Raw genomic sequence first — 17722 nt, 5'->3', positions numbered from 1 at the left:
ACGTCTCCTTAAGCTGATAAGCAACTTCAGCAAAGTCTCAAGATACAAAATCAATGTGCAAAAATCACAAGCATTCCTATACACCAATAACAGACAAACAGAGAGCCAAATCATGAGTGAACTCCCATTCACAATTGCTACAAAGAGAATAAAATACCTAGGAATGCAACTTACAAGGGATGTGAAGGACCTCTTCAAAGAGAACTACAAACCACTGCTCAACGAAATAAAAGAGGATGCAAACAAATGGAAGAACATTCCATGCTCATGGATAGGAAGAATCAATATTGTGAAAATGGCCATACTTTCCCAAGGCAATTTATAGATTCAATGCCATCCCCATCAAGCTACCAATGACTTTCTTCACAAAATTGGAAAAAACTACTTTAAAGTTCATATGGAACCAAAAAAGAGCCTGCATTGCCAAGACAATCCTAAGCAAAAAGAACAAAGCTGGAGGCGTTACGCTACCTGACTTCAAACTATACTACAAGGTTACAGTAACCAAAACAGCATGGTACTGGTACCAAAACAGAGATATAGACCAATGGAACAGAACAGAGGCCTCAGAAATAACACCACACATCTACAACCATCTGATCTTTGACAAACCTGACAAAAACAACAATGGGAAAGAATTCCCTATTTAATAAATGGTGCTAGGAAAACTGGCTAGCCATATGTAGAAAGCTGAAACTGGATCCCTTCCTTACACCTTATACAAAAATTAATCCAAGATGGATCAAAGACTTAAATGTTAGCCCTAAAACCATAAAAACCCTAGAAGAAAACCTAAGCAATACCATTCAGGACATAAGCATGGGCAAAGGCTTCATGACTAAAACACCAAAAGCAACGGCAACTAAAGCCAAAATTGACAAATGGGATTTAATTAAACTAAAGAGCTTCTGCACAGCAAAAGAAACTAGCATCAGAGTGAGCAGGCAACCAGAGAATGGGAGAAAATTTTTGCAATCTACCCATCTGACAAAGGGCTAATATGCAGAATCTGCAAAGAAGTTAAACAAATTTACAAGAAAAAAACAAACAACCCCATCAAAAAGTGGGCAAAGGATATGAACAGACACTTCTCAAAAGAAGACATTTATGCAGCCAACAGACACATGAAAAAATGCCCATCATCACTGGTCATCAGAGAAATGCAAATCAGAACCACAATGAGATACCATCTCACACCAGTTAGAATGGCGATCATTAAAAAGTCAGGAAACAACAGATGCTGGAGAGGATGTGGAGAAACAGGAACACTTTTACACTGTTAGGATTGTAAATTATTTCAACCATTGTGGAAGACAGTGTGGCAATTCCTCAAGGATCTAGAATTAGAAATACCATCTGACCCAGCAATCCCATTACTGGGTATATACCCAAAGGATTATAAATCATGCTACTCTAAAGACACATGCACATATATGTTTACTGCAGCACTATTCACAATAGCAAAGACTTGGAACCAACCCAAATGCCCATCAATGATAGACTGGATTAAGAAAATGTGGCACATATATACCATGGAATACTATGCAGCCATAAAAAAGGATGAGTTCATGTCCTTTATAGGGACATGGGTGAAGCTGGAAACCATCATTCTCAGCAAACTAACACAAGAACAGAAAATCAAACACCACATGTTCTCACTCATAAGTGGGAATTGAACAACGAGAACACTTGGACACAGGAAGGGGAACATCACACACCAGGGCCTGTTGGGGAGTAGGGGGTTGGGGGAGGGAGAGCGTTAGGAGAAATACCTAATGTAAATGATGAGTTGATGGATGCAGCAAACCAACATGGCACATGTATACCTATGTAACAAACCTGCACATTGTGCATATGTACCCTAGAACTTCAAGTATAATTTTAAAAAATAATAATAAATAAACGTGACACCGGGTTGAACCAATCTGTGGGCCCTACGTAAATCAGACACTGCATCTCAACCTTGCCTATAATATCTGCTGCAGTCTGCCATGTTTCCCTATCAGACGGCTCTCTTTCACAAGAAAGCTAGTCTCCTCTCTCCTTTCTTCTGCCTATTAAACTTTCTACTCTTTAACTCACTCCATGTGTGTATGTCCATGTTGTTAACCTTCTCTGCACGAGACGATGAACCACAGGTATTTACCCCAGACAATGATGCCGCTTCAGTGAGGGCTCATGAATGGATTAGTGCCTTATAAAGGGTTGAATGGAACTAGCTTAGGCCACTTTTTGCTCTTCCACTCTTCTACTACGGGAGGACTCAGTAAGAAGATCCTCACCAGACACCAAATTCATTGCTGTTCTGATCTCGGACTTCCCAGTCTCCAGAAATGTGAGAAATAAATTTCTGTTCTTTATAAATTGCCCAGTCTCAGGCATTTTGTTACAGCAGTGCAAATGGACTAAGACAGTCATCAATTCAGCAATCTTTTAGTTATTGCTTGCTATGTGCCAGGGAGTATGCTAATTTATAAAATCTACAAATGGTTATGCTATGAAGTTTGAACTAAAATATTAGCCATCTAATCTTCACACCAAAAATTATTTTAAACACCCAAAATGATAGAAAATATGTATTCCCATTGTTATCTCACTTGTAATTCTTAATCAAGTGCATTCACCTGAGTCATATTGGGAGATTTTTGTTGTTGTTGTTGTTGTTGAGATATGGTCACATCTGTCACCCATGCTGGTATGCAGTGATGCTATCTCAGCTCACTGCAACCTTTGCTTCCCAGGCTCAAGTGATCCTCCTACCTCAGCCTCCCGAGTAGCTGGGACTACAGGGATGCAATACCACACCCAGCTAATTTTTTGTATTTTTAGCAGAGACACGGTTTCATCATGTTTCCCAGGCTAGTCTTGAACTCCTGGGCTCAAGTAATCCTCCCACTTTAGATTCCCAAAGTGCTGGGATTATATGTATGAGGCACCACACCCGGCCTTTGGGATCTTTTTAAAAGTACAGATCCCAAGGTAGCATCCCAGACCCATGAAATCAGGATTTCTAAGAATGGGTCCCAGGTTTTCTAAGAATGGGTCCTTTGAAGATGCACCCACGTCATTACAAAGTTTCTCTCTCATTCAGAGCCACTGATCTGGATGATCTTAATAGTAGCTGAACGGTTGAGATCCACAGTACCTAGTTGCTAATAGCTGGCTAAAAACCAAATTTCTGTATTATTTTAAATTAATTGCCATTGGACGTGGCCACATTTATTGAGCAGGGGCCATGTGATTGGTGGGGTGGCATTTCAGCTAAAGGGGGATCCAAAGCATGATGAACACCATGACCCAAGATGTCCAGAGCAAAAAAGGACAAGGGTCTCAGAGAGGACATGAGGGAAGTAAGACAAGGAGACTACATCAAATGCTTAAGTAGGTGCCCCAGAAATAAGATCAATCCTAGCCACCCAGCGAGTGGCATAGGGAACCACAGACTGTGTCCAAACCTTACTCCCTAGAAAGAGCATCTGCATTCCAGCATTGGTTCAAGCACCAGACCCAGTCAATAGCAGGCCCTGACAGCTTATAGATAGGCAAAGTAGGGGCCATTGTTCCCTACATTTAAAAACTGGGGCAAAAACACTCATGGAGAATTCTATTAGTGTCAGGGAAACCCATTTATATAGAGTTTAATTTTTACAGAGAAAAGTGTAACAGTGAGTGCTTATAAAGTGTCTACTATGGACTCTGTTCTACGTGCTGTAAATGATAGAACCCAATGCTACTATTAGATACCTACTACTTCTAGAACCCTGCAAGTGAGGGGAGCTGGGTCATAATTAAAGCAGCTCCAGAAAGGTTAAAATCCATCGCTTTCATCAACAAGACCCTCTGTGTTTCTGCCCTAGTGGCATGACCCTGACCTTCAGTAAATCAACTTTCAGGCATTCTAGACACGCTGTAGGCCCATACTACACATGCTTGTGTTGATGTTAACAAAGGAGAAGCATTCCCCTTAAGCATGACTATGAGTGTTTATTAACAAAGGACTCTAAAGCAATGCTGTTCAATAAGAATATAACATAAGCCACATAAGTAAGTTTTACATGTAAGTAGCCATGTTAAAATAACTTAAGGGGTGAAATTAATCTTAGTATAGTTTTAACCCAATATTTCTAAAATGTTACTTTAACAAATCCACATGAAAAAATTATTGATGAGACATTTTACATTCTTTTTTTCATGGTAAGTCTTTGAAATCCAGTGTGTATATTATACTCGCAATGCACATCAATTTGGAGTGCTCAGTAACTACGTATGGCTAATGGCTTCCATAATGGATGGTACAACTCCAGAGGAATGGGAACATTAGCTGCTGGAATCATCTCTCAATGCTGACTTGGAAGAATATAAGCTTTATTCCTTTTTTTTTTTTTTAAATAAAAGCCACTTTTTCTTTTAGAATGTCTCCTTGTCCAACCTGCACAATTATTTGGGATCTTTTTGTTTACATTTGAGCAGTCTCTATACACAGAAACTTTTTTTCTAATTGGCTGAATCTAGTCCCATCAGGACTCAAGGACTTTCTTGCTTGAGTCTTCCTGAATTTGGTGACTAGGAGCCTGTCAACTTTTCCAGGGCCTTTGGGGTAACTGATTTGCTTCATAGCCTTTAATAAGTCCAGCAATTTACTCTGTGAAGCGGCCCAACTTTTCAGAACTTGAGATTATACTAATGCAACCCCTTTTGTATATACCAAAGCCCCATGGCCCCTTTGGCTCCAGGCTTGTCTTTCTCTAAAATTTTTCTCAGTCTCTCCTGACATACAAAGACCAGAGTCCAACCCAGCCATCCAACTGCAGATGGTACACAAGTTAATGCAGAGATGATGTTTGGGGTCTATACCTATATTTGACATGCCTACCTCTTTCTTGCACTCCCCTTCCCTTTTTCTCAATTGTTATTACACCTTAGTAAAAAAATTATGTTCAAAAAGTTCCCAGAATTATTCTCCATTGGCCTTTTTAGTTTTAAAACAAACAAACTCTTTGAGAAAGTAGATCAGAATTTTAAAACCTCAAGCTTCAACAAGGAGTGGCCATTCTGACACTTACTCCCATGTATGAACTTGTCTAATATGTTTTTATATCCTGAAACATCATTTGGGTGACTAATATCCCCTGGGATAGGCCAGACATTTGGTTTCTTCGAACCCCACCCAAATTCTCAAGTGGGTCTCAAAAACATGCTGTAGAAAAGCCTGTGCTGATTGTTTTTAATATTCCAGAACCTTTAAAGCTAAAGACAGGTAACCAGAAAGTATTTTCCTCCTTCTGCACTAGCTGGCCTTGACCTAGAGGCTTTGGAAAGACAACGGATACAGAACTTGATGTATTGGTCATGGGCAGCTGTGGTCCATGGAGAAGGAAGAAAGCCCCACCTGCTAGTGAATGTCTTAGCCAAGGAGGGATGTAACTGTCAGGATTTTGAGAAGGACTTGAAAAGAAAAGAATGGGTGGATAAATGACAAAAGAGAGAAAAGGACATGGGTGAGGAGGGCACAGTTGGCTGGGGAAACAAAAAACAATCTCTCCAGAGCATCAGATTTACACCATCAAAAGTACAGAAAGCGGGCCTTAGGCCCCCTTTCAGGATGCCCTTTTTCTTGTTGCCTAGACAGTCCTCCCTCACTGTCTGATTGTTTCCTGGACCCGCAACCTCAGACACCAAAATTCAAGGATGCTCAAGTTCCCTCTATAAAATGGTGTAATATTTGCATATAACCTACAGACATCCTCTTGTATACTTTAAATCATCTCTAGATTACTTATAATACCTATTACAATGTCAATGCTCTGTAAATAGTTGTAGTATATTGTTTGGGAAATAATGACAAGGAAAAAAGTCTGTACAGTTCAATACAGACACAATTCTCTTTTTCGAATATTTTCAATCCTCGGTTAGTTGAATCCAGGGATGCAGAACCTGAGGATATGAAAGGCCAGCTACACTGATTTCGGCTCCCTGCAGGCTCTCCTTTCTTGTTCAAGTCTTTAAAATGCTAAGTATGGAAAAGCTGAGACAAGCTGGGGAGGAAGAGGGGGCAATCGATTATTCTTTGTCAGGCTTCTTCTCTTAAACAATGCTCAGGGCCACCAAGGTCTCAGCAATTTGACATATCTTCCTGCTCTTAGGGCTTGGCCTTCCTTCACTCCCTGCCCCACGATGGGACTCAAGACGTTTAGGGAAGGTGAAGATTTTGCATCTGTCTAGAAAGCAAGTCAGGCGGTTTTTCCCCTGCTCCTTTTAAATCCCGGGATTTTCCATCATTAGCCAGCACATGAATTCTTAAAGAGTTTCTTGCTAATCCCTGTCTAGATGATTCTAGACACACACAACCACAGTAAAGATCTAGGTTGAAGTAAGCAGCCAGCAATATCTTATTCACAAGAGAAATTCTTAAATCTTTTGTTCAAAGATGAGGATGTTTTCTGGGTTTTTTTCTAATGATACACAGAAAAGGGAAGCACATATCTGCAGTAACGAGGGAACCAGCATCACCTGAGGTGCCTGTGGCTGCCCCTTCCCTAAGCTGCCCTGTGAGGAGCGACCATTCTGCTCCATCTGACTCAAGACTCGGGATTATTTCAGCAGCTTGGATGTCTCAGGGCCTATCACCCAAGAGGGGCTGCAGAGGAGGTTAGTGGTGTAAGAAGACAGATCACTATTGTCACAGATCCTAAAGCCTCTACATTCTGGACAAGTCCTTCTGCCTTTTACCTTTCAGAGCACTATCGGCTGTTAGTAGCAGGGACCTGATGATTTTTAAACAATTTATTTTTTGGCATACTTAACTGCTGACCTAAGGAGACTGTTGACAGTTCATGATTTTGTGATTTTAAAACTCCTATGCAGGAGGCTCCCTTCAATCCAAGGTTTACAGCAATATTTAGAAATAGGCCATCGACTGATGAATGGATTTTACAAGGTGGTTATCCATGCCACATTTAGCCACACTATTCAGCCAGGAAAAGGAATGAAGTGCTGATACACGCAACAACATAGATGAAGCTTGAAAACATTATGTGTTTTCAAGTCACAGAAGGCCACATATTGTATGATTCTGTGAAATGCCAAATTGGCAAATCCATAGAGATAGAAGCAGATTCCTGGTTAACAAGGACTGACGGGAGAGAGAAATCAGAGTGACTGCTAACAGATACAAGGTTTCCTTTTGGGGCGATGAAAATATTTTGGAACTAGATCACACTGATGGTTGCACACCATTGAGAATGTACTAAATGTCTCTGATGGTAAATTTTATGTCATGAATTTTATCATATTTTTAAAGAGAGCCTGAGGTTTTTTTGGAAAAAAAAAAAAAAAGGAAACCATCCTAACCCTTACTTTTAGCAAAGGCTGCCATTCCTGAGTTCAGCTTATAATCTTGTACTTCGTTAAATGCTTCTCAGAGTTAATTGACCACCAGTTTTCTCCAATCAACCCCATAAGGGTTATATTTGACTAGGTAATATCAAGTATACTGCCCTTGGTTGGTATTAGTCAGCAAAAGGTTGCTGTCTCAATACAAGCTCACGAAGGCTTCTCACAACGGGGATGGAAAGCAGTCACATGCGATGCTCATCAAGCCAGGAAAAACTACAAGGTTCATTCCGCCCTGGGAATGGCCCTTTACTGGACCACAGCGTCTGTGCCTTTTATTGCCCGCCTCCTTTTGTTAAACATGGAGAGGGATATGGCTGGTATATACATAAATGTGTTTCAGGATAGAACACAAAAACCTGTTAATGTTGTCACCATTGACAAAGGAACTTCTCTTGTTACTTTGTACTTTTTAAATCATTTAAATGTTCTTATCATGTACTTACATGAATTTTATAGTGTATCATTCTACATTTATATTTGCATGTAAATAACACGTATATAAAAAATGCCAGCTAGGTCACTTGACTGTCTCAACTGAGTCTCATGAATTTAAAATTAGAAAACCGTCTGTTGAGGCTGGGTGCGGTGGCTCACGCCTGTAATCCCAGCACTTTGGGAGGCCGAGGTGGGCAGATCACGAGATCAGGAGATCGAGACCATTCTGGCTAACACAGTGAAACCCCGTCTCTACTAAAAATACAAAAAAATTAGCCAGGCATGGTGGTGGGCCCCTGTAGTCCCACCTACTCGGGAGGCTGAGGCAGGAGAATGGCGTGAACCCGGAGGGGTGGAGCTTGCAGTGAGTGGAGATTGCGCCACTGCACTCCAGCCTGGGCGACAGAGCGAGACTCTGTCTCAAAAAAAGAAAACAGTCTGTTGAATCCAAATTGAGAGACATGCTATAAAGCAACTCACTTGGACACTTCAAAAACGTCAGTGACATCAAGAATGAAAAAAAAATGTCAAGAAATGTTCCAGATTAAAGGAAGCTAAAGAGACCTAAAAATAACTGCAATGCATGACCTTGATTGGATCCTGGATCAGAAATTGTTTTAAAATTCTATAAAAAACATTATTGGGACAACTGGGAAATTTCAATGTGTGCCATATATTGGATAACGGCATTCTATCAATCATCAATGTTATATTGTAAGAGATGACAGGAAAATGACTTGCTTTTAGGAGATATATGCTGAAGGGGTAAAGTTTTAGCATGTCTACAACTAACTCTTGTGTATAATTGTGGAAGGTGGGGGAGAGAGTTAAAGCAAATGTAGACTTCTTTAGTTTTTGTTTGTTTGTTTGTTTGTTTTTCTAAGATGCAGTCTCGCTCTGTTGCCCAGGCTGGAGTGCAGTGGCGTGATCTCGGCTCACTGCAACCTCCACCTCCTGGGTTCAAGTGATTCTCTTGCCTCAGCCTCCAGAGTAGCTGGGATTGCAGGCACATACCACCATGCCTGGCTAGTTTTTGTATTTTTAGTAGTGACAGGGTTTCACCATGTTGGCCAGGCTGGTCTCGAACTCCTGACCTCAAGTGATCCACCCACCTTGGCCTCTCAAAGTGCTGGGACCACAGGCGTAAGCCACCATGCCCAGCTTATATGGACTTTTTTGAATTTCTACCTCATAACTGTCCTTAAAAAGAAAAAAGACACTTTGGGAGGCCGAGGCGGGCGGATCACGAGGTCAGGAGATCAAGACCATCCTGGCTAACATGGTGAAACCCCATCTCCACTAAAAATACAAAAAGAAATTAGCTGGGCATGGTGGCAGGTGCCTGTAGTCCCTGCTACTCGGGAGGCTGAGGCAGGAGAATGGCGTGAACCCGGGAGGCAGAGCTTGCAGTGAGCCAAGATCGCGCCACTGCACTCCAGCCTGGGCGACAGAGCGAGACTCCAGTCTCAAAAAAAAAGAGAGAAAAGAAAAATTCTGAATTTTTATTATACTAGCTACAGCAACAACAAACAGAAGCAGTGAAGTTCAAATTCTGAGCCACCAAGCAGAATTTTCAGTATAGTTTCCCTTACCCTTAATTTAATTACAAAACCAACATTCCCAGCAGACAGGGATTTGCTCTTCCCAGGGGCCTCCCCACAGCCAGCCCTGTTGGTCTGCCAAGAGAAGCTGCCAGCTGCCTCCACCCTCTTTGAGCCAATCTGTGCCCCGGGAAAAGCAAGTCACTTGGAGAAGCAGCTTTTCCAGTACAGTTGTATTTTATAAGGTCTACCAGATTTCCATTCCTCCCACCCCATTTATCCTTCACTTTTTTACACACACTTTTTACTATACATAACTGATGATTCAGGGGGTTAATCTGACGTGTGGCAAATCCAGACCCTTGCAGTAATTTATCTCATTGACATAATTATCTGGCTTATGGAACAACCAGTTAGAAATTTTTGTTCCCAAATAGGCAGATCTGGCTTTCTTAACCTCTTTAAGCCTCAGTTTCTCCGTCTCTAGTATGGGGTGGTAATAGTGATACTCACTCCATAGGGCTATTTGCAGAGTTAATAAGATTGTGCATGCACAGTGGCCAGAACATAGAAAGGTACTATTTAAGCACTATTTTAGGACTGACGTAAATGAGAGTGCAATTACCATTTAAAAAAAAATTTTGTTTTGAAGGAATCTGACTCTAATGTATGAAAATCAAAGATCACTTTAAGAACTCACCTTAATCATAGAAAAAGGATTCAGTGAAGACTTTTTTCTGAAAGATTCACTATGAACAAAATCATTGAAAAGTGATACTTTTAAAGGGCAAACTTATTACACAATGACACTTCCAAGATTTATTATTCCTAGTATTTAACTACTTATCTCTTCAATTTTCACACAAAGCTAATCACTAATATTATCGTATTCTAGAAGTAATTATTTTAAAAGCTTTTGCTGTAATAGCTGAAGCCTCTCTGGCTATTCCTGGTACCAAAGAAGGTAAAAGTGTTTATTTTTTTAGGACTGACATGAAAGAGATTGATTTCTGATGCCAAGAAATCACTTAGCATTCATGTGACTTCAACTTCACAGCATCTTGGAATATGTTTATCCTTAATCAAAATTCTTCCTAGAGGCAAAATGCCAACACTTTCACCTCTTTTGTACCTTCCCTCAGAAAACCCGGAGAGAGGTTGGAAACAAGGTCACGACCTAATGCTCCTCAGCCGTGCAGGCCAATGCTTTGTGGCGTCATCAGCTGCCCACCGTGAGCTGGTCACCACTTTGAGTCCAGTTCCCCCTGGCACCTCTTGCCTAGTGGATAATATCATACCTCACTTTCCAGCAGAGAAACCGAGCTGCAGAAGTTGAATGAAGGTCTCTAGGGATGCTCTTGGGTCCATCATTCATTATGTGAAATATGAAAGGTCAGTAACCTATCTACCTACTTTCAAAACAACCTCTTTACCAAATTTCGACTTGATGGTATTTTTTGCAATCAGATCTAAGTCCAGCACAAATGAAAATACAGAAATTTTTATTTTTAAATTGTTATCTAATAGACATTTATTTAGGGGAAGAAAATTTCTATAAGAGTTATTGTGAGCTTAACCATGGAACAGTGGTAGTCACTATTTTAAGCACTTTACAAATATTAACTAATACAATCTTTATAATGATCTTATATTATTATCCCCATTTACAGATGAGGAGATTAAGGCATGTGAAGGGTTAAGTAACTTGCCAGAGATCATGGAAAGAGCCCTAAAACATATTGTTAAGCAAATTGCAGAATAACATATATGACCCCATTTCTTAAAAAAAATTTAATATGGGTGTGTGTGTGTATTGTAAATATATAGAGCTTGAACAGATACAATTCAATCACCATCAGTGATTGCTTCTGGAGAGGGGAGTGGTGGGGTGGAGGAGGTTAAGAGGGCTTTCAAATTTTGCTCTTTTTATTTATCATTTGATTTTTTTTTTTTTTTTTTTTTGGAGACAGGGTCTCACTCTGTTGCCCAGGCTGCAGTACAGCAGTGCAATCGTGGCTCACTGCAATATCCACCTCCCAGGCAGCTCAAGCAATCTTTCCACCTCAGCCTCCTGAGTAGCTGGGACTACAGGTGTGCACCATCACACCCAGCTAATTTTTTGTAGAAACAGGGTTTGGCCATATTGCCCAGGCTGGTCTTGAACTCCTGAGCTCAGGAGATCTGCCTGCCTCAGCCTCCCAAAGTGCTGGGACTACAGGCATGAGCCACTGTTCCCAGCCGGAATATTTCATACTGAGAATATTTCAGGCATTACATGCATAATTTTTACTTTAGAAAACTCAAATAAAGGACCAGTTCTAACAAAACAGCCACAGAAATGAGCTTCCTCTTCCTTTGAAGGCACACAGAACTCTGTGATTTGGTGTTTCAGTAACCTCCATCAAAATGTTCATTCAAACAAGCATTGCTTGCACACCTACCAGGCTAGGGACTGTTGTATATGCCACCTCACTGAATCTTCATAATTCCCCACAAGGGATGGATTCAAAATTTTTTATTTCAAATTTTAGAAGAGTATTTTGGGGTATGTGGGTTATAAAAATGGAATAATTTACGTAGCACTTTCTGTAGCACTTTTCTCTTATACATCTATTAACATTTCTTTCTTCCTCTTAAGAATATGGTGAGGTAGGAAGCTCAAGAGATTATTACTCCCAGTTTATACATGTGGGAACTAAAGCTAAAAAGAATAAATAACTCACCCAAAATCACAAGCAAATTAGGAATGCAAACTAGAAATGAGAACCAAGTCTCCTGATCCCCTAATGTTCTTGCCAGCAGAGCTCGGCTCAACCAGCCCAATCATTCCTGTCATCTTCATGCCAACAGCTGATCACAAAGTGACTGACTGTTAGGCCCCTGTAGTGGTCATCTCGTCCAGTGACCCTCATTCCTGGCTACACACTGGAATCCCCTAGAGAGCTTTTAAAATTTATCAATGCCTGGGTCTCATCCCAGAATAATTAAATCAGAATCCATATGGGTAGGATTCAGACACCTGTATTTGCTAAAAGCTCTCCAGTGATTCTAATTTATAGGCAAAGTTGAGAACCAGCATATCAGCTTTCAGGATAGCAAATAGGTGTCATTTCAGATGCTAACTCCAATTAACAGAATAGAAAGAGAAGGCCATCTAAGAAGGACCAGGAGCTGCCATGTGGGCTCAGAGGGCAGTGAACATTGTTGCCTCAGGAACTGGAGGGACGGGTGGCACAGGAGCTGTGTGCCAGCCAATCCTGATCTAATCCAACTCCCTCACTTTAAAGACAAGGAACCCAAGGCCAGAGAGTTTATGTGATTTACCATGGTAACAAAACAAGCTAGTGGCAGATCAAAGTCTAAACCAGGTCTCCTAAGGTCTAGATCAGTCCTCCATTTGTTTATATAACTGAGTGGCTCCCAACCCGATTCACGACCCCCGGGAAGACGTAAGATCACCCTGTGATTGACCTGCTCTTGCCACCACGCACCGGCAGATTCAGAGGCCTACACCCAGCGCCACTCACATCGCCAAAACAGGCGCCACTCACAGCAGCCCAGCGGCCACTGGGCGTTTCCAATACCAACTGCTCTCCCCTCCTGCCACCATTTGGGTTGTCCTTAAAAGTCAGAGAAACAGCTATTGCTGGGCCTGGAGTTGGGAGCTGTGGCCACAGCTTCCATTTATTACTAAACCATGGGAGAGGCTCCCAGGAATGTGCCTGGCAATGGGCGCCAGGCTGCCTCCCGCCATGCCCCAGGCACATCACTCTGGCATCTAAATCGCTGCCTGTCCTAGAAGCCTGTAGGGGTGACTCACGTGTGTCTGTGTGTATGTGTGTGTGTGTGTGTGTGTGACTCAAGGGTCTGTCATAAAGGCCCCATGAGTCACCCACTTCCTGACCAACACATTATGAAGACAGCTTCAGAATGCACAAAAGCACAGGAAAAGAGCCTGTTGGCCAGGAATGGGTTTTGTGTTTTCAGGAAACTGGTTACTTTTAATATAAATACACATACACAGAGAGCACCCAAGATAAAAGTCAACAAGCTTAGTGTCTCCTCATTGAGACAATGCTCTGTTCATAATGGTTTCTGAAAAATTTTTATTATGGCAAAATATACACAACATACAATTTACTATTTTAACCGTTTTTAAGTGTATAGTTCAGCAACATTAAGTCCATTCACACTGCTGTGCAAACATCGCCACTATCCCTCTTCAGAAATTTTTCATCTTCCCAAACTCAAAGTTCATATTCATTAAACAATAGCTCTCCATTCCCCTCTCCCCCAGCCCCTGGTAACCACTATTCTCTGTTTCTTTGCATTTGACTGCTGTATCTATCTGTAATGTTTTATTTCATTAATCTTTTAGGGTTTTAAAAATTGCATTGTTACCTCTTTTTCTAAGGACAAACACGGATAATCCTTTGGCTTCTTGTACCTTTCTTTTAGAATTCCCTAAATGTAAATAGAAAGGACTCTCTGGAGTTTTTATTCTCACGGGGTGGCTATAGATGGAGAAGCAGAGATGACCAGGGGCTGTTTCAATTGAGCAAAGAAGTTTGCCTTGGAGCACCAAACCCAACACACCTTGGTTGCTCACACAAAGAGGTCCCGTTTGCCACAATCCAGTGCTCTCCCCGGGTGGGTAGTGGTGGCTGTGAAAGGCAGCCCGCTTATGAGCCAAACTGTGCATCTGGGGTTCCCGCCCTCAGCAGCTTTCCTGGGAAACCAATGAAAGAGGAGAGAGGAGAACGCTGGGCTCTGGGAACTGGCGTAGTTGGCCGGCATTTCTGCGGTTGTTCATACCGTGCCTCCAAGTGCATGCGCAGACCAGCTCCAGCTCTGGGCGCCTCTGCAGGAAGCGGGAGGCTGGCGGCCCATGAGGACTGCAGCTGCTTGCACTCACTGTCCCCACGGGTGACCTCACAAAGCACACTTCCTTTGCCTGCCCACTGCTCTCAGAGGCAGTGTGGACAACCCCTCAGTGTATAGGCTTGAGAGAATCAGAAAGAGGTCCACTGCTGAGCAGCACTGTTGGGAACTTAGCCTAAGCAAAGTGCTTAGCCTGGGGTCCATGGACGCCCCACCCAATGGCAACCATGACCACAGAAAGCCAACAGTCTCGGGATTAGTGAATATTCTGAGCTCAGACTATGAATCCACTGACCTAGGTGTTTAATGAATATGAAGATATAAATGGAGTGAGCCCTTCCTTCAGAGCGCTCACAGCCTGGTTAGGAAGCTAGGACTCAGAGCCTAGGTCTCCAGCTAGGTGAAACTGTGCCGGATACCGTGTTCATACACTGTGTTCATACGTGGTGAAGAAGGTGCTAGCAGAGTTGGCTAGCTTCAGGAGGAAGCTGAGTCCTGAGACTCTCAGGGGCAGATTCCTTTATAAAGGTGCGACCTTTTTGGAGTACAGTTGTACATCTGAGAGGTTTTTAAAATTTTTGATTTTTGATCTCTTTGAAACAGGCCTCAACCATATGTTCCCAAGCCCCTGGGTTGCTGACTGGCAAGAGGAGAGAAGCCACTCCACCAAGCTGAAACAGTACCTGTCCCTCACGGTGGGGAGCTGAGGCAGCCCAGCAACCAGTCAATTTTTGCAGGACCAGAAGCACCATTAGAGGCCTTGCTTGCTGATTCATTTCCATACCTCGTTGATCTCCACCCACAGAACAATATGTAGAAGCATTTTCAAACAGTTCGCACCAAATGCCCTCACTAACATTCCAAAGCAGCTACAGAGGAAATTAATGGTTTCCTTCAGAGGCTTTTATTTATACAAATGCAAAAACTCCTATTTATACCTTCCCAGATTTGTAGACCTCTTGCTGTTGTTTTTTCCTCCTGTTGCTTGGAGTAAAGAAGTGGGAATGATGCAAAAATGAAACCACTTTAGTAATACAGGAGAGTGACCGTTTGGTGTCAAATTGTGGACTATGGTGAGTACATGCATGGAGTCAGGAGACACAGAACAGCCAGTGACCCTGTAGTGCAAACATGATCAAGTCCCACACACCTTTCCCATCTATAAACCTTTGAATGCCTTCCCATTGCTCTAGGAAAAAGACGAAATTCTTAATGGGGCTTGCCTTTCTCTCTCTGGTGCTTGCCTGTCTCTCTCTGGTGCTTGCCTGTCTGTCTCTGGTGCTTCTCTAGCCTCATTTTGCAGCCACTTTGCCCCCTCTACAGTCACGCCCCCTTTGTCTTTCAGTTCCGTGATTGTATCATGTTCCCTCCAGTCTCAGCACCTTTACGCGCATGCATTCCTCCTGCCTAGAATATCGTTCCTGCTCAGCCCTTCATCTAGTTTAACCCCTAATACTCTTCAACCCCCAACACGAATATTATTTGCTCAAAGCAACAGTCCGGGTCTTTCTGTCTCCCTGCCATTCTCTTCTAGCCTCATTACTCCCCTGTTTATTCATGTGCTGAATGAGGCTAACACCTCTCCTGTCACTCTCTAGATTTTCTGCAAATATTAAATGAGGTATATGGGATGGCAGATGCAGAATGTATGTCTATTCCAACTTTCTAGTGTACCTTCCTGTACCGAAGAGACTAGTAAGCTAAAACCTAGTTTCCATACTCCCTTGCAACTACGTCTCCTAGGTGGTTTGGGTTCTACCAATCAAATATCCTTGAACAGGGCTGAAATGTAGATAGCTGAGAAGGGAGAGGGGCAGGGATGAAGTATGCATTCTGCTAGTATAGATCAGAGCTACAGTCACATGGCTATGGAGCCAACAGCACTGATCTCCAACTCAAAACAAAGGTAATGCATTCTTGGACCCAACATTTCTGGCAGTGGCTTCCTGATTGTGGCATAGGCAGATGCTGTAATGGCAGGCCAGTTCTGGAACACAGCTGTGGGAATCATCCTGGAGGTCCATGCTGAAGCCTCCTCCAGCCCTTCCAGCCATGTTGTAAGTACCTAATTCCTTATATCAGTCCTTTTCTGCTTAAACTACTTAAGTGATCTCCATTATCTGCACTTAACACTGCCCAGTAAATATGAGAAAGTGCTTCCAGAACCACAAACTGCTATGGAAATGTGACTTATGGTTACTCATCAGGGGCCCAGAGCTTCCAGCCAAGGAGGGGCCATGAAAAGAATCATCAGTCATGGAGTTTCAGGAAGAGCAGGCAAGTGGCCACACTCTAAGAACAGTCTCCCCAGAGTCAACAGCTTTTTGTTGTTGTTGTTGTTGTTGTTGTTGAGACAGAGTCTCACTCTGTCACCAGGCTGCAGTGCAGTGGCATGATCTCAGCTCACTGCAGCCTCCACCTCCCAGGTTCAAGCAATTCTCCTGCCTCAGCCTCCTGAGTATTTGGGACTACAGGTGTGTGCCACCACATGTGGCTAATTTTTTTGTATTTTTAGTAGAGACGGGGTTTCACCATGTTGGCCAGGATGGTCTTGATCTCCTGACCTCATGATCCGCCCACCTCAGCCTCCCAAACTGCTGAGATTACAGGCACGAGCCACTGCGCCCGGCCAACAGACATTTTTAAAAGAAAAGCTTTTGATAAATTAAATTTAACAGTTTTTGGAAGCAAAGAATGATTCATGAATTGGGCAGCACTTAACTAGAAGAGATTCAGAGAAATTCACTCTGCAGTGTGGGCAGTATTTATAAACAGAACAGGAAGTAAAGGACAGAAAGAGCTTTATTGGTTACATCTCAGCATTTGTCTTGTTTGGACATGGTCTGATCAATCAGCTTCCTGTGATTGGCTAAAGCATGGCTGCTTGTGATTGGCTGAGACTCCACTGTTATGCTCCTATTAGACTTCCAATTTGTTTACTTACTAAACTAGGTTGCAGTTTGTTAATTAAAGACTCAAAGTACAGACTCAGCCTCAAGCCAATAGCCTCCTGCTTATTTCATTTAATACCATTTTAATCCAGAATCTGCACTTGAAAACATGTGTCTCAGTATCATTTTAGAATGCAGCTCGCCTTCTATATCCTTGGTTTTCCCTACTTGGAAAACACACACAGCCTGGAGTTTGCCATCTGTGGCATTTGAGGAGGGTTTTCTAGAGTTAAGCATCCCCTAATACATATCCAGGAAGGGCTGAGACATTCCTTTATCAGGTAGGAATCTCATGAGTCATTCCAAATGGCCTGTAGGTACCTTTCTCACTTTGACAAGTATATCCTGTATCCTGGATAGTTGCTCATTCTGCAGTCATTCTCAACTCCAGGATGGAGTGAGAGAAAGGATGCAGGCTTTTGTTGTTGCTCACTCCCCTGACATTTTTCACTGCTCAGGGCAGACCATCTCAGCACCCACTAAAGCTAGAGCCGGCTGAGGCTATTGGGGTGAGTCCCA

General features: G+C 42.4%; 1 long non-coding RNA gene across 2 annotated transcripts in view, besides 1 other annotated feature; it reads right to left on the bottom strand.

Annotated features, from left to right (window-relative positions):
- LOC107985960 (uncharacterized) overlaps nt 1–16175 on the bottom strand; it is a 119748-nt gene extending 103573 nt beyond the window's left edge. For both annotated transcript variants that reach the window (XR_001739773.3, XR_001739775.3), the window contains exon 1: nt 13968–16175. This is a non-coding gene — a long non-coding RNA (uncharacterized LOC107985960). The remainder of the gene's footprint in view (nt 1–13967) is intronic.
- Nucleotides 12511–13710: an enhancer, noted in NCBI's record as "P300/CBP strongly-dependent group 1 enhancer chr2:173117619-173118818 (GRCh37/hg19 assembly coordinates)". NCBI's record gives its function as "activates an origin of replication core promoter dependent on BRD2, BRD4, P300/CBP, MED14 and CDK7 cofactors, with strong dependence on P300/CBP, by STARR-seq in HCT116 cells {active_cell/tissue: HCT116}" and the evidence as "EXISTENCE:reporter gene assay evidence [ECO:0000049][PMID:35650434]".
- Nucleotides 16176–17722: the final 1547 nt, after the last annotated feature.

Source organism: Homo sapiens, chromosome 2 (assembly GCF_000001405.40).
Source record: "Homo sapiens chromosome 2, GRCh38.p14 Primary Assembly".
In the NCBI taxonomy this organism is placed as follows: domain Eukaryota; kingdom Metazoa; phylum Chordata; class Mammalia; order Primates; family Hominidae; genus Homo; species Homo sapiens.
Note: the sequence above shows the minus strand (reverse complement) of the source record. Positions and strands in the feature narration are given on the sequence as shown.